Here is a 24,966-nt window from a genome sequence, read left to right as displayed (position 1 = left end):
TTAGAGTTCTAACATTCTATAACTTTGGAGTTCTACTCATGGAATAAGACATTTTCTTTACTGTAACAGGTTCTGTGGAGATTTGATGGAAATAAACCACATGCTTTAGGACTCAATACTTGGGTGTACAAGTGGATACCACAGAATGACCTTCTTGGTATGACTCTGGAGTACAAATACTGAATGTATTAGTAATATCCCATTAGAGTATTAATAATTAATCATGAAATAAGCTTATTGAAAATGCATTATGGAAAAACTTAAAAATAAAATGCAACTACATTATATTTATTTTGCAGTCCTATGGGGAAAATAATAAGCTATAATTGTTGGCATTTTATGATATACATTCACCTTCTTTATGGTCAGAATCAGAGTATTTTTATTTCAGGTGTTATTATGTCTCACAGAATTTTTTGTAACTTCATAGATCGTCTTTGTCTCCTATTTCTATAACTTTACACTTGTTCTTTCTTTTTATGCAGGGTTATTTCAAAAATAACAGCTCTTCTGCTATCACCAGTGACTCTGCATTTTCTGTAGTATTAAATTCCTAATCTTAATCATAAAGTGATGACACATTTTGTGATGAAGTGTGACCTGTCCTTCCTCAATCCTAGCACCACCACCACCCCACTGCCTGCTGCCTTGCACATCTCACATATCACATTCTATGACTGCACTTAGGAGAACACATTCTTACATGTCCATCTCTTTTCTTTGCTGCTCTTTTTTTTTTTTTTTTTGCACATTTTATTTAGATTGCGCTTTTTCTTTAGTCTAACTGGTAATCTTGTTTAACTATTTTTCAGTCTGAAGTCACACACACCATACAGCTTTCACTTACATCTCCAGCATAAGTGCTCCTTCCTCTGAAGTCTGAAACAGAAATTTTAATTTAGTTCAATGTTTTAGCTAGAAAATACTGTCACTTGAGTCTTTAGTTGTGCATTTCTCATTTTATTCCTATGAATAATTTTGCTAAAATTCATCCAATCCTAGGTCATCCAAAAACCAGGGCTTTTGTAACTCATGGTGGATCCAATGGCATCTACGAGGTGACCTACCATGGGATTCCTATAATGGGGATTCCACTGTTTGCGGATCAACCTGATAACATTTCTCACATGAAGGCCAAGGGCACAGCTATTAGATTGGACTTCCACACGATGTCAAGTACAGACTTGTTCAATGCATGAAGCCAATAATTAATGACCCTTTGTGAGTATAACAATATTTTTTCACTAGGTGGTATTTATAGATACCTTATCTTCTCAATAGTATGAGTTTCATCCTTTTTTCAAGAGACTAATTTTGAAAGAATTTAAATGATGTAACCAATCTGAAATCTTCTTTTATTTTTGAGCAGTTATTAAAGAATTGTGTTTTCAACTCCACACATTTAATGGGTATCCAATTAGTGAAACAATTTTCTGCACAAAAATAATTTTAAAGTAATATAGAGAATATAAAAAAGACAGTTTTAAAGAAATTATATGATCAATCCACAGTAGAAAGGAAGGATAAACTTGAAGAAATATGATAAAATACTTTAATTAAATATCTAAAATGTCTAACAGTATAACTGTTTTCTTGCTGAAAAATTCATTTTTATTGTTTTCATTATTGTAACTGGCTTGATAATTAGATATAATTTCCATGACTTAAAACCCACCTATTTAAAGTGTAAAATTCCAATATATTTAGAATGCTTATGAGTCATGAAGCCATTGAGAATCATACAGTTTGGGGTGTTGTGTAAATGACTTCTTTCACTGAGCATAATTTTTTGTTTTTTTAAAATAGTTTTTAGATTAATTCATGTTGTAGTGTACATTAATACCTCATTTATTCTTACAGCACTATAATATTTTACAGTATGGATATGTCATATTTTATTTGTTCACTTATCAGTTCGTTGGCCTTTTGATTGTTTCCAATTGTGGCTATTAGGAACATTGCTGCACATATTTTTGCATAAACATGCTTTTCTTTCTTTTGGGTTGATACTATAAGTGGTATTGCTGGCTTATGTGGGAACTGCATGTTTATGAAGAACTGCTAAACTGTTTTCCAAAGTACTTGTTCCATTTGTCATTACCACCAACAGTACAAGAGGGTTCAAATTCCTCCACATTGTTGCCAACACCTGTTATTATCTTTTTGTTATAGCTTTCTTAATGAGTGTGAAATGATCTTTCATTGTGGTTTTGGATTGGATTTTAGGTGGATTACGGCTAAAAATGTTGAGCATCGTTATATGTGCTTATTGACCATATCTCTTCTTTGGAAAAATGCCTATTCCAATCCTTGGAACATTTTTAAATTTTGCTACTCATCTTATTATTGAGTATTAAGAACTATTTTATATTTGGATATAATCTTATATCAGATATACAATTTTCAAATATTTCGTTTCATTCTGGGTGTGCTAACATTTTACTTTTTTGTTGATGGTTTTTGAAGAACAAAAATTTTAATTTTAATAAGTTAAATTTTTAGTAATTGATTTATTTATACTCCATAGGATGCAATGTGCAAAATGCCTACCCAGTCCAGCTACCATCCATTCAGCATTTATAACTGCTGTCAATAATATTTTTATGTAAGAAAGATGTCACCTAAAGGAATACTTTTAAAACAGGTTGTACCATGAAACAGGTTGGACCAATATAAAAGAAACATCAAACAACGTGGTTTATTTAAATGTGAATATACAGATACTTCCATTAAATCTAAACAGACTTTAAAAAGAGAAGCAAATAATGAATAAGGACATAAAACGTTAGAAGAACACAGTTAACAAATGGAAACTTATAATGTAACATGATACACACACGCATATATATACATATATATATATGCACACACACATATGTACTATATATGTCAACTGGAAGACACATTTTCTTAGAGCATGTTGAATTATTAATAGTTATTTGAAGTGACTTGTGGTGGGCCATAAATCAAGACTCAGTAAATTTGAAAAGATTCAATATCATAAAGAGTAAATGATTCAGCCTAAGTGGAAGTAAGGGATATTGGAAAAATGATAACTAAAATACTTTTAATTTTGGAAATTAAAAATATACACTTCAAAAAATTTAAAGCTCCACCTCAGACTCCTGAGTAGCTGGGAATACAAGCATGCACCACCATGCCTGGCCAATTTTGTATTTTTAGTAGAGATGAGGTTTCACTGTGTTGGTCAGACTGGTCTCGAATTCCTGACCTCAGATCATCCACCCGCCTTGGCATCCCAAAGTGCTGGGATTACAGGCGTGAGCCATCGCTTGAACCTCGGAGGCAGAGGATGCAGTGAGCCAAGATCATGCCATCACACTCCTGCCTGGGCAACAAGAGCAAACCTCCGTTTCAAAAAAATAAAAATAAAAATAAATTTAAAAGTTTAAAGAATTAAAAATAAAAAAAAAGTCAAGAAGTGAATGATAATTATGCATGCACTTTTATCTCAGCAATTCTACTTTTAATTATATGCCCAACAGATATGTATAAATATGTAAACCTTGTGCTATATATGACATGGACAGGAAACAGGAAAATACTGGGTAGAAGAGGTCAGTTCCCCAGCAGAGGTCCCACCCTCAAGCCTGAAAACTCATGGCCATAAATGAGAACAGACATTCTGTTTTTGAGCCCCCAAAAGTTGCCTTTTGGCCCACAATGCCCCCCTATTCTGTACCCATATAAACCCCAAACACCCAGCATGAACAGAAGAGCAGAAGGATGGCAGAATGGTGCATCAGAGAGAAGAGAAGGAGTTTCTGAATGCCAAGAGTAGTTCAGCTGGAGACAGTTGGAAAAGAGAGGAGATTGGATGCTGGATGGCCAAACCCCAGTGGAAGATCATCTTCCCATTCCATCACCATTCCAGCTCCCCATTCATCTCAATGAGAGCCACCTCCACCACTCTATAAAACCCATGCATTCATCCTTCAAGTCCGTGTGCGACCTGATTCTTCCTGGATGCTGGACAAGGACCTGAGTACTAACAGGGCACTGAACTGGTTAACACTTAAGCCATCAGTACATGGCAAGGCTAAAAGAGTACACTAACACATACCCACTTGGGCTTCAGGAGCTGCAGACAACCACCCCTGGATGCTGCCGTGGGAACACAGTCCAGGGGCGCTTGCCCAGGCTCCCGCACCTGCCTGTCTGCATGCTCCCCCTCCCATAACGGGCTTGAACATGAATGGGGGCTGAACAGATGAGCCACACAGCTGTCGCACATCTTGTGAGGGGAGGCGCAGAACTCTTGCATTTCATATACAACAATGTTTATAACAGAATTATTAATATTGTTCAAAAATCGTTAGCAACCCCAATGTCTATTGGTCATAAAATGATGACATAATCTGTGGTTTAGCAATCAACAAAATACTACACAGCAATGGAATTAAATAACAACTGCTATACAAAATTTTAAAAAATAGACTCTAATGAATGTATGTTATATAATTCAATTACATAAATAAAGAAAACTAATGTATTATATTTGAAGTCAGACTAATATTTAACTGAAGGATAAAAGTAGTGACTAAATGGTTCAGGAAAAGAGAGTTATTCTAGACAGGTTGTGGTATCATATATCATGATCTGAACAGTAGGGAAATTGGTATCTTCTCTTCAAGATAATGTTCAAGATGATCTAATACTTGTGACCTATTCACTTAGTGTGTGTATATTTATCTTTTGGTTTTAATATTCAAAGATTTATTTTATAAGTTATATAATGTATTTAAAATTCTAGGAATCAAATATCAAAATAAGCATAAAACAATAGAGAAAATCCTAGAGGTTCCATCATAGTGTGGCCAGGAAAACCTCGCTTAGAGGTAACACTTAGAGGGAAGCCTCAAAAAGAGATAGAAGCATGCCTTGGGTTGTTGCAAGAAAGAATGCTCCAAGAGTGTGACAGAGGGGGCAAAATGTTTAAAGATGCTATGGTGAGGATACTTTTGGGAACTTAAAGAAAAATAGAAGGGCAATGTCTCTAGAAGACCTAGTGTGCATGGAAAAAGTGTTAGGAGAAGAGCTTGCCAGTGTTTGACATTGCAGGGTCCTGTAGACCAAATAACAGAGTTGGATTTTATTTTTAATATGATAAGAAGTCAGGCAAAAATCTTAATCAGGAGAGTGGCAAAATCTGACTTTTATTTCAAAAATATAATTCTGGCTGCTGGGTAGGAAACAGTAGGAGAGAAAAGGGTAGGGTAGAAGCAGAGTGACTAGCTATGAGGCATTTCACTCACCATGACACAATTCCTTTTTGGAACTTAAAAATGATAATTGTATTTTCACTATCTTTCCTAAAGGACTTAAAATTGCTCACAATGTTGAGCACGTTCTCATTTGCCTGTTTGAGAACTAAAAGAGTATAATTGGATTGTTCATAACAGAAAGGATAAATGCTTAAGGAACAATACCTTATTCTCCATGGTGTGATTATTTTACATTGCAGCCTGTATCAAAACATCTCACTCAACCCATAAATATATACACCTACTAAGTACCCAAAAAAACTGAAAATTAACAAACTAACAAATAATAATGAAATGGCTCATATTTGCTTTGCCTGAAAGAAATTAGTTTTCTCACTTGGCTTTCCATTTTTACCTTAAAAATATTTGTCAATGATAAAATTCCAATTTAAAAGCCAAAGTTTCTATGATGATTCAAATTAAATTACTCAAATTCTATGTCAATTCTATGACATTTACTTTGAATCATTTGACACTTTAAAAACCTTTCATGGGCTGGATGCAGTGGCTCACGCCTGTAATCCCAGCACTTCGGGAGGCCGAGATGGATGGGTCACCTGAGGTCAGGAGTTTGAGACTAGCCTGGCTAACAGGGAAAAACCCCGTCTCTACTAAAAATGTAAAAATTAGCCAGGTGTGTTGGTGTATGCCTGTAATCCCAGCTACTCGGGAGGCTGAGGCAGGAAAATCTCTTGACCCCAAAGGAGGCGGAGGTTGCAGTGAGCCGAGATTGCGCCACTACACTCCAGCCCGGGCGACAGAGTAAGACTCCATCTCAATAAATAAGTAAATAAATAAATAAATAAATAAGCAAAATAAAAACCTTATATGGACTTGATATGCTCAAGCAAATTAACTTACTTTCAATTTTGGTATCTCTACATTTATCCTTCAGATATAAAGAGAACATTATAAAGTTATCAAGAATTTATCATGATCAACCAGTGAAGCCCCTGGATCGAGCAGTCTTCTGGATTGAATTTGTCATGTGCCATAAAGGAGCCAAACACCTTCAGGTTGCAGCCCGTGACCTCACCTGGTTCCAGTACCACTCTTTGGATATGATTGGGTTCCTGCTGGACTATGTGGCAACTGTGATATTTATCATCACAAAATGTTGTATGTTTTGTGTCTGGAAGTTTGCTAGAACTGGAAAGAAGGGAAAAAGAGATTAGCTGTAGTTGTATTTGAAGCTTGAAGCTAGGAAACCTGATAGACGAGACTTCTTCAGTTTATTCTAACAAGAAAGGTTATGAAGCAAGATTCCTTTCTTTCTGTGACAGAAAATCTCTTCAAAACTTACTTACCTTGTCAAATAAAAATTTGTTTTTCAGAGATTTAATACCTTAGAAATACTTTTTGTTGAGAAGGAAAGTACTAGCGAAATTATAAAATAGTATAAAGCCATATGAACTTGTATTTAAATTTGTCGAGCTTATATTGAAATGTGTTGCTCCCATTCACAGGTTACATGAAAACATTTTTACTGAGCTTAAGTACATTTCACATATTGTACTTAAACACAAGAGTATTAAGAGTATCGGTACTGTTTTGCAAATACTCAGAATACTTTGGCTTCATTTTAAGCAGGATTTTCATATTTTAACTGTTGCTAAAGGAACTGTTAAACAATTGAATTGTATAAAAAATGTCTCTCTTGCTTTTGCTATTTTGAGATGAGTACTGCTGCTTGGCTCTTACGGTGCATACTGCTTAAGTGTCAGTTTTTTTCCTAAAAGTTATGGCAAAATGTTTAACTTTTTAGAGCTTTAGTCATTTCGCAGTGGAATGTATATGGAATTAGAAATACAGCAACTGCTACCTGCTTCCTACGGTAATATTGAACTATTTTACAAAGTCTTTTGCTCTATGAACCAATTCAGACTTTCCATATGATACCAAGAAAATCAATACATGTTTGTCCAAAAAATAAAACAAATTAAAAATGAAGAAATGAGTGAGTGAGTGGTGGAAAGAACACGGGGCTAAAAGTCAGGAAAGCTGGGGTCCAGTCCCACCCTTCTGCTGAGCCAGTCTTTCACCGTGAGCCTCAGTTTACCCATTTTTTTCTGGTCATTTAAAAATATTCATCTGGTCGATTTTATTCTTACATTTTAAATTATTTCAAGAGACTTTAGGGAACAGGTGGTGTTTGATTAGATGGATAAATTCCTTAGTTGTGATTTCTGAAATTTTGGCACACCCATTACCCGAGCAGTGTACACAGCACCCAACGTGTAGTCTTTTATCCCTCTTCTCACTCTGACCCTTCCCTGAGTCCTGAGAGTCCATTGTATTATTCTTATGCCTTTGCATTTTCATAGCTTAGCTCCCACTTGTAAGTGAGAAGTTAAAATATTTGGTTACCTAATCCTGAATTACTTCACTTAGAATAATGGTCTCCAGCTGCATCCAGGTTGCTATGAATGGCATTATTTTGTTCCTTTTTATGGCTGAGTAGTATTCCACGGTGTGTGTGTGTGTGTATACCACATTTTTTTAATACACCCATTGCTTGATGGGCATTTAGGTTTGTTCCATATTTTTACAATTGGGAATTGTACTGCTGTAAAGATGTGTGTGCATGAGTCTTTGCATATAATGACTTCTTTTTTTATGGGTAGATACCCAGTAATAGGATAGGTGGGTAAAAATGTAGATCTACTTTTAGTTCTTTAAGGAATCTCCATACTGTTTTCTGTAGTGGTTGTGCTAGTTTATGTGTTTCCTTTTACCACATCCATGCCAATATTATATTATTTTGGGGTTTTTTAATGATGTCCATTCTTACAGGAGGACAGTGGTATTGCATTGTGGTTTTGATTTGCATTTCCATGATAATTAGTGATGTTGAGCATTTTTTTCTGTTTGTTGGCCATTTGTATATTTTCTTTTGAGAATTGTCAATTCATGATCTTAGCCTACTTTTTGATCATATTATTTGTTTTCCTCTTGTCGATTTGTTCAAACTCTTTGTAGATTCTGAATATTAGTCATTTGTCAGATGCATAGTTTGTGAATATTTTCTCCCACTCTGTGAGTTGTCTGTTTACTCAGCTGATTATTTCTTTTGCTGTGCAGAAGATTTTTAGTTTAAGTCACGTCGATCTATGTTTGTTTTTGTTGTATTTGCTTTTGGGTTCTTGGTCATGAAGTCCTTGTCTAAGCCAATGTCTAGAAAAGACTTTCTGATGTTATCTTCTAGAATTTTTATTGTTTCAGGTCTTAGATTTAATTCCTTCATCTATCTTATAAGGTGAGAGATGTGAATTCAGTACCATTCTACTACATGTGGCTTGTCAATTATCCCAGCACCAATGGTTGAATAGGCTGTCCTTTCTCCGCTTTATGTTTTTGTTTGTTTTGTCAAAGATCAGATGGCTATAAGTATTCAATTTTATTTCTGGATTCTCTATGTTGTTCCATTGGTCTACATGTCTGTTTTTATACCTTTGCCATCATGTTTCAGTAGCTACAGCTCTGTAGTAGTTTGAAGTTGGGTAATGTGATACCTCCAGATTTGTTCTTTTTGCTTAGTCTTGCTTTGGCTATGCAGACTTCAAGCTGAGAATCAAATCAAGAATTCAACCCTTTTCACAGCAGCTGAATCAAAAAGAAAAAGAAAAACATAAAATACTTAGAAATATACCCAAACAAGAAGGTAAAAAACCGCTACTAAGAAAACTACAAAATACTTCCCAAAAATATCATAGATGACACAAACAAATGGAAACACCTCCCATGCTCATGGATGGGTAAAATCAATTTTATGAAAATGACCATACAGCCAAAAGCAATCTATGAATTCAATGCAATTCTCATCAACATACGATCATCATTCTTAACAGAACTAGAAAAAAAATCCTAAATTTCATATAGGTTTTATTCTCATTTTTGTCCTTTAATAGAAAATATAAGTTCTTAATATTAGTTTGTGATAATATAAGAAATGCATTCTAAAGGTACTTAGTGAATTTTCAATCCTGTTAAACATGCATGTACATATACATGTCCATTTCTTTTGAAACACAACACAGCATCACTTAACTATCTAATAGGTATGTCGTGAAATGTGTTTATTGAAGACAGTTTGAAATAATAATTATTATTCTACATAACTATAAATGATCATGATTAATTTTTTTTCTTTTTTCCACAGTCTTTTGATCCTTCCCTCCTATAAATATAATATGGCAACACTAAATTTTTTATCATAACAAAAATATATCTACAAAGAATACAAAAAGTTTATAAATTTTGTGGAAAATAGCTAAATCAAGACATAAACCTCCTTTAATCTGCACATCAGGAAAGCACTTTATGATCAAACTGGTCCAAATTGACAGAAACCTAGTTGTCTTTGTTGATCAGAAGTCCCATAAGTAACCAAGACTCACAACAAATATTCTTGAGCCTAAGTCATGATTTAAATACATATCACTATATATATATATATATATATACACACATACACACACACATACAAACACACACACATATATATCACTATATATGTAGATTTGTATTTGTATGCATATATATATAAATCATGTTATACACAAACACACTAAAACATTGATGTTAAAGAAATTATAGGAAGCATTGATAAGAGAATATTTTATACAAATTATCTAGCTATTGATACATTTATAAAGAAAAACAGAAATAATAAGGTGGTAAATGTTAATAATTTTTGTTATCATTCTTATAAGCCTGAATTAATTCACATTAAACCTATTCTACATCATACTTAAAAGATGGATATCTATTGTTTAGTGAGAACTACAATCACCAACCAAAAAAGGGAAATGTTCCAATATAAAAACTTAATGAAAATATAAATAGGCACTTCAAAGCAAAATCACTGAAAACATATGAAAGATTATAAAGTACCTGATGCTCAGGAAAATAGAAACAATGGAAAATTAATGCTGTAAAGATTTGCAACCTATAAAAACCTGAGAAATCTATTTTTGCGGGAGTATAATGTGAAATAACCTTCTAAAATAAAATGTCAATATACAGTTTGAAACTGAAGTTCTACATCTAGAAACCTGTCATGCAGAAATCCTTCCATATAAGCACATGTATGAACAGAATATTTCCTCCAGCACTTAAATGGCTCCAGTCAATGAACACACATACCTCCAACAAATGTGTGAGTGTAGCCATTGTAGGGAACAGTTTATTCCACTGCTAAATAGAAAAAATAGTTTCCAGAAAAAAAAAGCCTTCCTTGCAATGAAATAAAATAAAATATATGTAAACTTGTACAAGGAAAAACAAATCTAGCAGAGTACACATAAATCCAAGGATGGGAATTTTAGATTTTATTCTACAGAATTCTGCAGCATTTAACTTTTTACAATATTTTCATATATTATTTATGAGGTTCAAAAATTAATTTGTGAAATAAATACATAAAATCAATACAGGAAGCTCTAAAAATTAACATCTCTTTATTAATTCATTAGTGTTATTCAAAAAATTTGAATTGATCAGGTTTCTCACATGCTATTTCATTCATTTGCAGCTTTTTTTTTAGAACACTGGTTCCATGTTTAAAATACCTATGGATAAATATAACACAATGTTTAAAAAATTGCAAGAACTGTAGAAATCTAAATTCACAAAATTTTTGTATTTTCTTTTATTATATTTAATATTTTATAAATCTTACAATTGCTTAATAACTTCTGCTGTCTTCTTCAAAATGTTAGAATGGTTGTGATTTTGTGACATGACTATAAATACTTTGACAATTTTCCTGTCAAGTAATATCCCCTCCCTTTGAAGTTTGGCAGACCTTGTAGCTGCCTCAACAAAAAAGATGCAGTGGAAATAATGCAGATTAACTTTCAAAGTTCTGTTGGAAACAACATGTTCCCTCTCCGCTTCTCTCTCTCTCTTTCTATCTTTTGTTTTTATGTCTCTTTTTCTCTCCACATCTCCTCAATTCAATATGTAGTCCCCATAATAAATGACAATTTGGCAGAGAGACACAAATATATGCCTAAGAAATCCTGGTAGCCCACTAGTACTTTGAGCCTTTCAACCTGAATCATTAAGTATGTAAGTGAATGATCTTCAGATAATTATAGACCGAGGCACCATAGGAAAGTAGCTACCTAAGAAACTTTGTGGAAGGAACACATAACTGAGCCCAACCAACACACAGATTCTGAGAGATGGTAATAAAATGATTACAGTTATTTTAAGGCCTGACATTTGAAAACAATTTTTCATGCAGTGATACATAACTGGAATAATAGTTCTAAACATTTTAAATTATACATTTGTAATAAAATTACAATTAATATATAGCTACATAAGTGAAAAATAGGGAATATTATATTTTGAAAATATCTGTACCCCAAATAGAAGAGTCAGCATAACGTGGTGGTTAAGAGCTGGCACTCTGGATCCAGATGGCCTGGATTCAAGCCTCTGAGAAACCACTACATAATGATGTGGGGCTGGACAAGTTACTTGGACTTTATTTGCTTCAACTTCCTCACCAATGAAATGGCAGTGGTTGTCATAGCATTACCGACCTCATGGGGTTGCTGAAAGAATGAATTCATTAATATTTCAAAGCACCAAAACAACTGTATATACAGCAAAGTAAAATTTTGTGTAATCTTGAATGTGGCAAGGTTTTTAGATATGACACCAGAAGAAGAAGCAACCAAAATAAAATTGATAAATTAGATTTCATCAAAATTAAAATTTTTACACATTAAAGAACACCATCAATAAGGTCAAAAGAGAAACCAGAGTTTGAAGTACATATTTACAAGTTACATACCTGATAAGTGACTTATATAAAAAATATATAAAGAAAGCTTACAGCTCAATGTTAAAAAGACAAATAATTTAATCAAAAAATGTTTAAAAGATCTAAACAGGAATTTTACCAAGGAATATTTAAATGTCCAATAAGAACATGAAAAAATGTTTTGTGTTGGATTATATAGTTGAGAGAAATATATAACGTCTTCTCAATCACAAGTAACTTTTCCTTTGTGCTCATAGGCAGAGAAATAAATTCTCATGACTAAACAGAAAAGCTGCCTGGAATGAGCACAAGTTATTTGGCAGAACTATAACAATACAAAATTAAAGATAAATAAACAAATAACATTAGTCTTCCTAAGAATCCATATTAGTGTTTAAAATATTATAAATGAAGAGTCTGTGTCCCATATTTTTTAACAGTATCTTTCCCCATTACTGTATAAGATGCTATTTTAATTATTATTATATGTACTAAGTCAAACACACACACACACACACACACACACACACACAGTTGCATGACTATGCATTAATAATAGAAGAAATGTATGTTGTAGCACCTAACTCCTTCCAAAGGAACTGAGTGATGAGGTTTGTTTAAAAAATTGGTCCTATTGAAAACAGTATGGAAGTTTCTCAAAAAATTTAATGTAAGATTACCATATGATGCAGCAATCCCCCTTCTGGATATTTATCCATAAGAATTAAAATCAGGCTCTCAAAGGCATATTTGCGCATCCATATTCATAACAGTACAATCCCAGCATCTACCAAGGAATGAACAGACAGACACTATGTGGTTTATGCTACAATGTGGATGAAACTTGGTATCATTAGGCTAAGTTAATAAGTCACAAAAAGACAAACACTGTAATTCCTCTTTATAAGGTATCTAAACTAGTCAAATTCATTAAAAAAAAAAAAAGAAAAGAAAAGAAAGTAGAATGGTGGCTACCACGTGAAAAGGACTCCATAAAATAAAAAGTTGTTGTTTAATCAGCATAGAGTTTTAACTTTAAAGCAGAAAAAGTTCTGGAGATTGGTTGCTTAAGATTGTGTACCTAGCAGTACTATGTGTACACTTAGAAGTGCTTAAGTTGGAAAATTTCATATTATGTATGTTTTATCATAGCTTCTACTCCAGCAATTCCAGCTAATATTTGATATCTCATCCTTATTTGCTCATAGCATTCTTTTCAATAGTGTTTGCTGTGTTATTGCTCTTTTGTGATGGAGCAAATTCTTTCTTCATAGGAAATGGACATTTTCCCAGAGCTCTGGAGAAAATAGCATTGCAGTGTTTTGTCTGGGATCGATGGTTGATAACATTACAGAAGAAAAGGCTGATGTGATTGCATCAGCCCTTGCCCAGATCCCACAAAATATTAAATACAGTGCCATAATGTTGGAAAACTAAGAGTCTTAAATTCTATAAAGAGTTAAAGGGTGAAAATTTTCTCCCTGAAAAGTTAACATTTAGGATAATTTAATTTACTGAGATTGAGGCAGGAAATTAAAGAAAGAAAGAAAAATAAAATTAAAAAGAGAAATAGGCTTTCCTGTATTAGGCTAACTAGTCCCAGAGGCAGCAATGGGTGCAGCCCAGACCCAGGGAAATTCTTAATACTATCTAAAAAGCCAGGACACACACCAAAGAAATGTGGTCTGGTGACTCTCTCAGCACTCCTTCAACATAGGGAGAAGAAAAACAAATTTTCCTCTGTTTTATGGTATGACTTTACAGATTCTTGTTCTCTGTAACTAGTAACCTCAAGATTTCTGCTTTATCTAAAAAGCACAGCAAAGGTCCTGAGAAGTCTGAGTACGCCTGAACTACAGCTGTCTGGGCACCATAGTGAAGGTTATAAGATAAACCAGTGCAAGGCTCTTTTGAGCAAAACCTAGATAACAGTCATCTAGGTTGCATAGCAATAGTCATGTGTAATCCTGGGTTATGAACCTGTCACAATTTTATTAATTGTTCTCCTTCTGTATCCCTGCTTTCGTGCCACCGTAAGCCTGCACCAAGTTAGCCCACCCCTTTTTTAAAGTGTGTATAAAAGTCAAGTGCTGTCTTTGTTGGGGGCCCCATCTTTGGATGGTAAGTCCGTTGGGTCTGAGTGTACTCAATAAAGATATCCTCCTCTATATACCCCAAGGTCTCTCTCGGGTCCTCCTGATCCGCTACACACCTGGTGACCCACATGGGACTGAGAGACTGCAGCTTGGCTGGCTTCTTTGCCTGTGGGCGGTCTGGGGCCTCGGCTGTGGGAGACCCTTAACTTCAGGACCCATCAAGGGAACTTAAGCCCAGAGAAAGGAGCTGTTCTCCCGCGTCCCCGGTGCCCCTCCCCTGACAGCACAAGGGAACCCGGAGGGGTTGCAGGACGGTTCCAGGAATGGCGCCCTTTCTTCAGAACCATGGTAAAGTTTTGGGGCCCAAGGCAGGACCTATCCCATAAGGACAGAAGGGGAGCCTGATCACCTCCCAGGGAGTGACAACTAATCCAACACAGAGAGGCTGGGGGACGGTGAGAGTGGCTCACAAATTTGGATGAAACTCACACCCCAACCAACACAGGACGCGAGAGTGGCTCGCTAAGTTAGTTCAGAAGGAAACTGGATGCAGTGAGAGCGGTTCACTGCCCCAACCAGGATAGGGAACTGGGAGCGGGGAAGTGTGTGAGTGCGTGTGAAAGAGACAGTTCTGGGAGGAACCAACGGGAATGACATGTGTGGAGCTGCTGATCTCTTAGTGTAGGCTGTACGCTCCGAGCAAAATGTAGGACCAACCGGGTCCAATCGGTCTAAAACAAAAGGAAAGGTGAATGTGCTGCATCATAACTGGGAGGAAATGGGAGGAAAATCGTGGAAACCCACCCCATTGGAATGTATGTTAAAGAACTTTAAGAAAGGCTTTGCAGGGGTTGAGGGAGTCAAGTTAACCCCTCAGATGCTGAGAGCTCTCTGTGAATTAGAATAGCCCTTTTTTGGTGTTGGCTGGCCTGCCAAATGTGCTACAGATAGGGAGAAAATTGGCCGTGTGTTTAAGGTGGTGACCTGAGTTGGAGGACAGTCAGATAATTCAGACCAAATTTCCTTATATTAACTCATGGCTGAATGCAGCCCTGTTTAGCAGCTTATTGAAGAATGCTCACAGCTCAAGCCAAGAGAAATCAATTGTGCTGCCAGCTACAAAGACAAAGTGAAAGCTTCGCCTGTAAACAGAGTTAAAGGGAAAGTCACAGGAGCTTGTAGCGTGAGCAAACAGAGACAAAAAGAAAGCCACAGGAAAAACCAGTTTTTCAAGAACCACTGGAGGGAAAAGAGACCCCTCCTCCATATGTTCCAATCTACCCCCGCTTTCCCCAGGTTAACTGCCTCTGAGGAGTCAAGCTCAAATGGATACATGCCCCCAGTCTCTCTTGAGAGGGAAAAATCTGAGCCCTCACTCCAGGAAGTTAAGGTGAAATGCTAGGAAAAACAGGCAAGCCACCTCCAGTCAGGTTGTGTTAGGGCTATGCAAATGCCTCTCCTGGAAACTAGAGGACCCCCACTAGAACCCAAAGGAATGAGGCAGCCCAACTATAGCAGCTGCCAAGATACCAAGAGGCACTCCTGCAAAATTTAAGGGAAGGCGGGAGACAGGCAATCAATATAGGAAAAATCTCAGAGGGGCATCAGGGTGCAGATGAAAGCCCCAGCCATTTTTATAAAAGACTTGGTGAGGCCAGTGCATGATGAACATGGCATTTGTAGAGCAGGCCCAGGGGGATATCCAGTGAAAATTGCAGAAAATGGAAGGTTTTAAAGGGATGAATGCTACTCAGCTTATTGAAGTGGCCACGAAGGTGTACATTAACCAAGATCAGGAGGCAAAGAGGGAGGCTAATAGAAGGCTTGAGAAAAAGGCTGATTTGCTGGCAGCATCCCTCATGGATGTGGGTATGGACATGGGCATGGAAGAGGCCAGTCTGGACAGGGATTTGAGGGCCAGCCGAGGCTGGAAAGAGATCAGTGTGAGCGGTGCAAAAGAAAAGGACACTGGAAGGATGAGTGTCCAGAGAATAATAACAAGGAGGACAGTCAGGGCATTCAGACCAAATTTCCTTATGTTAACTCATGGCTGAATGCAGCCCTGTTTAGCAGCTTATTGCAGGATACTCGCAGGTCGAGCTGAGAGAAATCACCTGTGCTGGCAGCTGCAAAGACAAAGTGAAAGCTTCGCCTGTAAACACAGAGTTAAAGGGAAAGTCACAGGAGCTTGTAGGTTGAGCTGAGCAAAAAGTGAAAGCTTCTCCGGCAAACACAGAGACAAAAAGAAAGCCACAGGAAAAACCAATTTTGCAAGAACCACTGGAGGGAAAAGAGACCCCAGGGCAGTAGTATAGGAAGGCCACCTACTGGTGGCTGCCACACCAGGGAGGAACCAGACATCGATCTGATTGGACTGGCAGGGGCTGAAGGATATGAGGGTAGGACAGACCAGGCTGCTTCTCTTTGGGACCCGAGGAGCCCATGGTCAGATTAGAAGTTAGAGGCCAGCTAATGGACTTTACGGTAGACACCAGAACTAAACACTTAGTAGTGACCTGACCTATAGAGCCACAATCCAAGAACTGTGCAACTATTGTAGGAGCCACTGGAGTCTCTGAAAAGTGGCCTGTCGGTCAAAGAGGTGTGTTATAGGAGGATGAGAAGTCCAAAATGAATTCCTATACCTCCTAAATTGTCCAGTTTCTTTGCTGGGAAGAGACCTACTTCAAAAACTGCAGGCACAGATTACATTTGGGCCGCAAGGGAATGTAACTTTAAACGTAGTTTGCCCAGAGGCTATGATGTTAACCCTCACTGTCCTGCAGGCTGAGAAATGGAGACTATGCAAAAAAGACTCCGGAACCAGGAGTAAATGAAATGCATGGGTTACTTACTAAAATTCCCAGAGTTTGGGCTGAAAGTAATCCACCTGGACTGGTGCCAGCGTAAATCAGGCACCGGTGGTGGTAGAGTTAAAACTGGGAGAAACTCCGGTTCGGGTCCGACAGTACTCGCTACTCCCTGAGGACATACGGGGTGTCCACAAACATTTAGAGTGGCTTCATAAGCATGGAATCATAGCCAAATGCCAGTCACCATGGAACAACATTCTCTTGCCAGTGCGGAAGCCGTCTGGGGAATATAGGCCAGTACAGGATTTGCATTCAGAAAACCAGGCCACAGTGACCATCCACCCAGTGGTGTCAAACCTGCATACCTTAATGGGACATATTCCAGCAAGTGCCACTTGATTTACAGTCCTAGATTTAAAGAATGCATTTTTCTGTCTCCAGTTTGCACCAATTAGTCAGGCTAGTTTTGTTTTTCAATGGGGGTAAATCACAGTACACTTGGACAAGATTCCCACAAGGATTTAAAAACTCCACTACAATCTTTGAAGAGGCACTGGCCTCAGATCTTAAAGTCTACACCCCACCGAATAGTTACTGTGTCTTGCTCCAGTACATTGATGATCTTCTTCTAGCAGCCCCAACTCAAGAGGACTGCTTCCAAGGGACCCAAGACCTCCTGCACCTGCTATGGAAGGCAGGATATAAAGTGTCAGGGAAAAAGGCTCAAATTTGCTTTGAAAGTTTCCAATATTTAGGCTTCTATATAAGCTAAGGGAAAAGATGGCTTGGTTGTGAATGGAAGCAGGTGGTTTGTGCACTTCCTACTCCAACCACCTGGTGAAAAATAAGAGAGTTCCTAGGGGTAGCAGGGCTCTGCCACATCTGGATCCCAAATTTCTCACTCATGGCTAAGCTATTATATGAAACCACAAAGTGGGGGAAAAGGAGACCATCCTCTGGGAGGCCAACCAGGAGAAGGCCTTTAAGGAAATCAAAGAAGCCTTGACTCTGGTCCCAGCTTTAGGACTGACAGATCTAACGAAGCCTTTCTTTTTATATGTCCACGAGCAAAAGGGAATGGCCATAGGAGTTCTAACTAAATCCATAGGATCATGGCACTGCCCAGCGACGTACTTATCCAGGCAATTAGATTCTGTGGCATTTGGATGGCCTCCTAGTTTTAAGGCATTAGCTGCCACTGCTCTGCTGGGACAGAAAGCTAATAAACTGACTTTAGGACAGCAAATGACGATCCAGGTACCACACTCGGTTGTAACTTTGATGGACCAAAGGGGGCACCATTGGTTATCAAATCCTAGAATAACTCGATACCAAGGGCTCCTATGTGAAAATCTCTGCATAATTTTAGACTGTGAATACCCTAAACCCAGCTACCTTGCTTACCATTGAGTCAATGCCAGGAAGCCCCCTTCAATGCTGTGTGGATGTGGTAGGTGAAGTGTTCTTAAGCCAGAGAGATTTGACAGATCAGCCCCTCGGGGACCCCGACATTGGATATTTTACTGATGGGAGCAGCTTCATACTAGAGGGTGTCCGCCAAGCTGGGTATGCAGTGGTGACTTTGGACTCAGTAGTGGAGGCGAAGTCTTTGCCTACAGGATCTTCCCCTCAGAAAGCAGAGCTGATAGCTCTGACAAGAGCTCTCCAGTTAGCAAAAGTCCAGAAGGCAAATCTTTACAGAGACTCCAAATATGCTTTTGCCACTTTGCATGTTCATGGGGCTATTTACAAAGAAAAAGAACTCTTAACTGCTGGAGGTAAAGAAATAAAGTACAAGGAAGAAATTCTATGACTCTGAGACACTGTATAAGCCCCCAAACAGGTAGCAGTAATGCAATGTAGGCAAAAGGCAGGAACATTAGAGGCTAAAGGAAGCAGAAAGACAGACAAAGAGGCAAAGCAAGCTGCAATGGCGACTCCACCTTCTAAACAAGAAGCCTTAGCTATGACTCTCCTCCCAGAGATTCCCCTTCCAGAGACCCCAAGCTACACTCAAATGAAAGGGCTTGGTTTACCCAGGAAAATGGGAATTACGTTGAAGGAGGATGATGGAAATTCTCCAATGGGAAGCTAGCCATACTTGAAATGTTGGCCCCCAGATTTGTAAAACAGTTCCACCAAGGAACTCACATGGGAAAAATGGCACTAGAGACATTATTAGGGCATCATTTCTATGTGCCACAGCTCACTGCTATTACTCAAGCCGTTTGTAAACAGTGTTTAACTTGTACTCAGAGCAACCCTCGACAAGGGCCTACTTGGCCCCCGGGGAATTCAGAAAACAGTGGCCATGCCCTGTGATAACCTGCTTTTGGACTTCACCAAACTGCCCTGAGCAGGGGGCTATCAGTACATGTTGGTGCTTGTCTGCACCTTTTCAGGATGGGTCAAGGTCTTCCCCACCTAGACATAAAAAGCACAAGAGGTGACCAAGGGAGGCATTATTCCCAGATTTGGACTGCTCCTAAATCTGGGGTCAGATAATGGACTGGCATTTGTGGCTGAAATAGTTCAGGACTTAACTTGACTATTAAAGATAAAATGGAAGTTGCACACGGCCTACCAGCCACAGAGCTCAGAAAAGATGGAGCACATGAACCGGACACTCAAGCAGCTGCTGAAGAAATTTGGTCAGGAATCTCATCTGAGGTGGGATCAGGTCTTATCCATGGTCTTCCCCCGAGTCAGGTGCACCCCCACAAAAAAAAACAAACTGGGTACTTGCCCTGTGAGATTTTGTTTGGCTGGCCACCCCCAATCATAAGGCAGATTAAAGGTAATCTCCGTGAGCTACAAAAACTAACTTTAAGAAGACAAATGCAGGCTTTAGGTATGGCCATGCAAAAAGTGAATGGCTGAACACAGGAAAGAATGCCTATAAGTCTGACAGACCCAGTACACCCTTTCAAACCTGAAGACTCTTTTTAGGTTAGGAAATAGAATCCACCTACTCTGGGACCCATATGGGATGGGCCCCATACTGTGGTCTTGTCCACTCCCACTGCTGTTGCAGGTATCATACCTTGGATCCACCACAGTTGGCTGAAACCGGCAGCCCAGGACCAGTGGACCAGCCAGTAGGACCCAGACCATCTGACCTGGCTGATCATGCAATGAGACCACGTTGCCAGTGGAGATGACAACAGCCCTATTCTGGTCACTCCGGAAGCTGACCCGTCTATGCACGGAAGAAGGTTGAGGAAACAGCAAGCCCTGCTCTAGTCACACTGGGAGCTGACTAGTCTGTGCATGGCTGAAGCTTGAAGAATCATCATCAGATGAGCAAATGTGGCCAGAAGTCTTAGTCCCAGTAATCTTCTTTGTATTATTCATTATATTGCTATAACCACCATGAAATAAAATATTTTATTTTTCATCCACTTTTATGTGGCACTCATTTTTAACATCTACACAAAAAGTTCACATATTTATCTTTTCTGGTTCATTAATCAAGCTGGTGTCTATTTGATTTTCCTTTAGCTGTAAAGAGAATGTTATGTAGTTATCAATCATTTATTATGATCAGTCTCTGAAGCCCTTGGACCAAAAACTCTTCTGGATTGAATTTGTCATGCACCACAATGGAGCCAAGTACCTGCTGCCACCTGCCCACAAGCTCACCTGGTTTCAGTACTGCTCTCTGGATGTGCTGGCCTGCACAGCTCTTGTTACTCTCTTTGTCATACTATGATGCTTGATTATCAAAAGTTTGTTAAGATGAGAAAGAAGGAAAAGAGAGTAGGTCTGTTTGAGATCTAAGGCAGGCAGGCATGATACCAAAAATTGTGCCATTTAATGCCACCACTATGCATCAAGGTATGGACTAAATTCTTTATTACATTTTACAAGACCTGTGCCTTCCTGATTTGTTTGAATTTTTTAATCTTTGTTAAACATAAGTATTGTAAAATTTTATTTTCAGAAAACCTATAATAATTCAATTTTAATGCTTATCTGTGTATATTTTTCAGCTGAAAATAAAATGAGTTTCACTGGAAATTCAGTCTGTTTACTTGAGAAGGCCAGAAAGACTTGCTTTACTGTGCATTTTAAGAAACTTCTTCTTATATATATGTATATATTTTTATAGAATATAATACATTTATATATTTATATATTATATATAATAAATACATATCATATTTTTATTGTTTTATTTCAACTTTTATTTCAAGTTCAGAAGTACATGTGCAGGATGCGCATGTTTGTTACATAGGTAAAGAACCCTCTTCTATATAAACAAATACATTCATATGGAATATATGTGTCCCTGTCAGAAAAAAGAAAAAGAAAAAGAAAAAGAAAAACAGAGCAAGATCCTTGTTAAAAATTGCAAGACAAACTTTATTTTGACAACTGAAGAAGGGGATAGTGACTACAGTATGAACTGAGCTTAACTCCAACTAAGACAAAGGTAACTGAGACTTTTAAAGAAAATCTGTTTATGAATAAAAAGGGAATATGAGGAAATCAAAATAAGGAAACCAAAAAGAGAGTAGTGGGCTATATGGAAGTAGAAAATTACATAAAAATTAAGTGTAAAATGATTGATTATTAGACAAGATTAGTTAGGGTAATTTTGGAATTTGGCAGCGTCACATTTTATTGAGCAAAGCCTCAGCATGAAGGCTAGGGTCACCTTCCAGGACAAATCCATGACATAGTGCACATATAAGCTGGACTAAACTTGGCTAAGTCTCTTAGCATGGTGTTTAGGCAGATTCTTCCTGTTACATGGAAGTTTCCAAATAATATCGTTCATGAAATACAAAATGTTTTCTCATAAAAATTTCTTTGTTTCAAAACTCTAGATGTTTATAACTGGCTTCCTATGTAAAACTATGCAACCTAGTAAAATCTTTGGTTAGAATGACTAAAGATGTTTTCCACATGAGGCCTTGAATACACTTGAGTTACTATTTTGCTTTAGTAATGACCATTTGTAATTGGATAGTAATACACAAAATAAAAGAAGAGACTAGTTTCCTTTAGTTCGGAATTATAGATATGTAGTCCAGTCCCTCTAGATTATGTTACATGGATTTCTCTCTTGCAATAAGATCTCACATTTCTTGCCCTTACCTTGTCAAGTGTGATATTTCCACCTACTTTAATACCTGGAGTACTGAGGATATACAAACCAGAAATGTATATAATTATTTTAGTTATTCTCTCCTCATAACATATTGAAAAATAAATTGTAGGTGGAATAAAGAGTCAAATATTCTGTGCAACAATTTTTAAAGTCCATGCTGGAGAAAACATGATAAATGGCAAAAGCTCTCCAATACCTGCGTTAAATTATTGTTCATTACAGCCTTTGGACTCAGAACAAGGTTTGAAAAGCAAATAAGAGAGAAGAAGGGAACCAACTTAAGAGCAATTCTTCCATCTGACAAGAGATGTGTCTAAAACAGTTGAATGAAAGAGAGACATAATGATTATTTCTCACACATGAAATAGATTTTTATAGTACTCTTCTCTATGAGAAAATATTGTAGCAATAATTGCTAATAAGATGAATTATTATAATGTCTAGAAAAGAAATATACACTAAATATTTCACTTAAACTTTGAACATATAGTCATGCCACTAGAAAGAAAAAAATACCAAAGTACAAGAAAAAAAGTGTAATGTATTAGTGCTTTTTATAGTAATGTCTTCTTTATAAAAGAGGGAAAACCTTATAGATAAATATTAGTATGCAGAAATAATGAAGCTCAACCTGTACTACACAAGTTAAATTTTAGTCTATTTATATTTTCTTAATGAAACAACTTCTGAAAGTGTACCAAGGACCTTGCCAAAATAGATCTTCTTTGCAATTCTTAGACCATAGAGCCAGATACAAAAATCTATGTCTATTCATGAGTTATCAAAGAATACTTTCATTTGTTTTAATTTTGAGAAGTCTTTTCATATAAAGTACTATGTACACACACAGTTAGGAAAGTATGTGAATATGAAGATTTACTTTATAGAGACTCCTAAAATCACATAGTATATTAAATTCCAAAAATGTCAATATTGTGAATGTGTCTGTTTCTTTGAGATTGATTCTACAAGATTTTAAATATCTCAGCAGTTAAAAAAAATTAAACAAAGAAACTCTAAGTAGTCACATGGAATCATTGAATTGAAATAACATTCTTCATCCTTCATCTTTTTCTATAAAATTTTGAATATGCTCCTTAAGGACTGAAATATGCAAGCACCACAGAAGTTGAAGACAAAAATGAAATAATTGTGAATTTAGTCATGAAAATAACATATGAAGCTGAGTCTATCGATGTCAAGGACAAGTGTTTTATATAGGAGTTTTCTGAATTAATATCTATGCAAAATGTAATGTTTTTTATAAGATAAAACAAATGTGATAATTAGAAGTTTCCTTCTTATATTCTTTAAGTATAGTCTTTAATATTCTTAAATATATTCTTTAACATACAAATCCTTAAAACCCAATAATAATTGTAAAAATTACTAAATAACAGTAAAGAGTAGCGTCTTGGAGGGGACGTGTCTTCTGGCATCTACCACCTCACAACCACTCCAGTGTTCTCTATTGATGAAGCTTAGCATTCATCTAGCTGGCAAAGGAAGAATGTTTACAGGATCCTGATTCAGTATCATAAAGCTATATTTGCACCCAAGGAACAATAAACTGAAAAATAGTAAAGCATAAAATTTCAAATTTCTCATTTGTTATCATTCTAAAAGTTGTTGTTCCTTTGGACACTGAATCTTGGTAAAATTCGGATGAGTAGGAGACATGGCTTTCTTTTGAAAATAACATTTTTGAAAGTGGGGGCATGTAGAGGTTCTGAGAAAGATGAGCTTAGAGTTGTCCCACTGGGTTTACCACCCCACTGGTGGTCACTTCCCTAATGTCCAAATGTATAGTAAGCATTGAGATACTAGCAGGTTGGATTTGTTATTTCGGTAGTAGCATCCTCAGACTTGGTTAGAGGGAGTCTCGTTGTGCTGGGCCCATGTGTATCCTTCACCTATTGCCACTCTATTCATACTCCCAACAAATCAACACTGGAGTAGCCAGTTATTTGGTGCTTTACCTATGATGGAAATTAGCTTTCTTTAATTCCAAGCATATTGAGATGTATCATTGATTTCACTGTAAGTTCCCAAATATTAATCTGATGAATCACTTTTTGGGTTTATGATCCAGTGAAAATTTTGTTCACATACTGCACTGATTTTTTCAAGGATGTTTTTCTATAGCTTCTTCTTTGGTATAGAGACTTTATTAAGGATGAATTTGCTCTTCATAAAAGAACTAGAACATTGACTCATCATAACAGTGGCTCAGAGTGATTGCCAAAAAAAAAAAAAAGATAATTAAAGGTCAGATAAACAAGTAAAAATTAACGAATAATCTTTAGTCAGATAAGGTAAACTTTGCTGTTGGATTAGTCAATCATAATGAGGACATACAGGTTGAAAGAGGCAGGACAGAATGAAATAAAAATTGAGACAAACACATTGAATCAGGTCATAAATGCTTTAACAAAGCATACAACTTGTAGATAAGACCAAGAAATCCACTAGAAACAAGAGAGCTTTTATCTTAAAGGAATAAATATATAAATCAAAAATCAAAGTCTCATTCTGATTGTTTCCTCTACCTACAATCCTTAGGTAAAAATCTTCCAACTGTGTAAAACTGGTTATTTCCTCATGTGGTTTTCTTGGGGAAATATTCAACAGGTGTTGATTTCTGCACTATCGCTCATATTTATTGTGTATTTTGAGAGCATCCCTTCACAATATTTAAAATTTCCTCTCCTGCAGGCTAGGGACATCTACAGTTCCACACATATTTTATTATTTTTTTTTTAACAAAAGTCACTGCTCTCTGTAAATTTTTGTTCCTTACTTAGGTACTATGTCTCATTTGGTTTCCTCCCAAAAGTCACTTTCTCATAGTTCTCATAAGCATGTATTCAGAGAATTC

General features: G+C 36.8%; 1 long non-coding RNA gene and 2 pseudogenes across 1 annotated transcript, besides 3 other annotated features; 2 read left to right on the top strand and 1 right to left on the bottom strand.

Annotated features, from left to right (window-relative positions):
* Positions 1-7,496, top strand: part of LOC101927264 (UDP-glucuronosyltransferase 2B10-like) — an 11,258-nt pseudogene extending 3,762 nt beyond the window's left edge.
* Positions 2,674-11,757, bottom strand: LOC124900853 (uncharacterized). Its single transcript, XR_007058454.1, has 3 exons — positions 11,658-11,757; positions 7,653-8,888; positions 2,674-6,434 (listed from the first exon to the last, which is right to left on the bottom strand). It is a non-coding gene; the product is annotated as an uncharacterized LOC124900853 (long non-coding RNA).
* Positions 11,758-12,669: 912 nt separating this feature from the next.
* Positions 12,670-24,966, top strand: part of LOC101930041 (UDP-glucuronosyltransferase 2B10-like) — a 47,384-nt pseudogene continuing 35,087 nt past the window's right edge.
* Positions 13,964-14,854: an enhancer, noted in NCBI's record as "NANOG-H3K27ac-H3K4me1 hESC enhancer chr4:69772246-69773136 (GRCh37/hg19 assembly coordinates)". NCBI's record gives its function as "activates a minimal SCP1, AML or CMV promoter by ChIP-STARR-seq in naive H9 embryonic stem cells {active_cell/tissue: H9 hESC(naive)}" and the evidence as "EXISTENCE:reporter gene assay evidence [ECO:0000049][PMID:30033119]".
* Positions 14,855-15,746: an enhancer, noted in NCBI's record as "OCT4-NANOG-H3K27ac-H3K4me1 hESC enhancer chr4:69771354-69772245 (GRCh37/hg19 assembly coordinates)". NCBI's record gives its function as "activates a minimal SCP1, AML or CMV promoter by ChIP-STARR-seq in naive H9 embryonic stem cells {active_cell/tissue: H9 hESC(naive)}" and the evidence as "EXISTENCE:reporter gene assay evidence [ECO:0000049][PMID:30033119]".
* Positions 16,638-17,530: an enhancer, noted in NCBI's record as "H3K4me1 hESC enhancer chr4:69769570-69770462 (GRCh37/hg19 assembly coordinates)". NCBI's record gives its function as "activates a minimal SCP1, AML or CMV promoter by ChIP-STARR-seq in naive H9 embryonic stem cells {active_cell/tissue: H9 hESC(naive)}" and the evidence as "EXISTENCE:reporter gene assay evidence [ECO:0000049][PMID:30033119]".

The sequence above is a fragment of the Homo sapiens genome, chromosome 4, assembly GCF_000001405.40.
Source record: "Homo sapiens chromosome 4, GRCh38.p14 Primary Assembly".
NCBI lineage: Eukaryota > Metazoa > Chordata > Mammalia > Primates > Hominidae > Homo > Homo sapiens.
The sequence above is the reverse complement of the archived record's forward strand: the minus strand, read 5'-3'. Positions and strand labels throughout refer to the sequence as shown.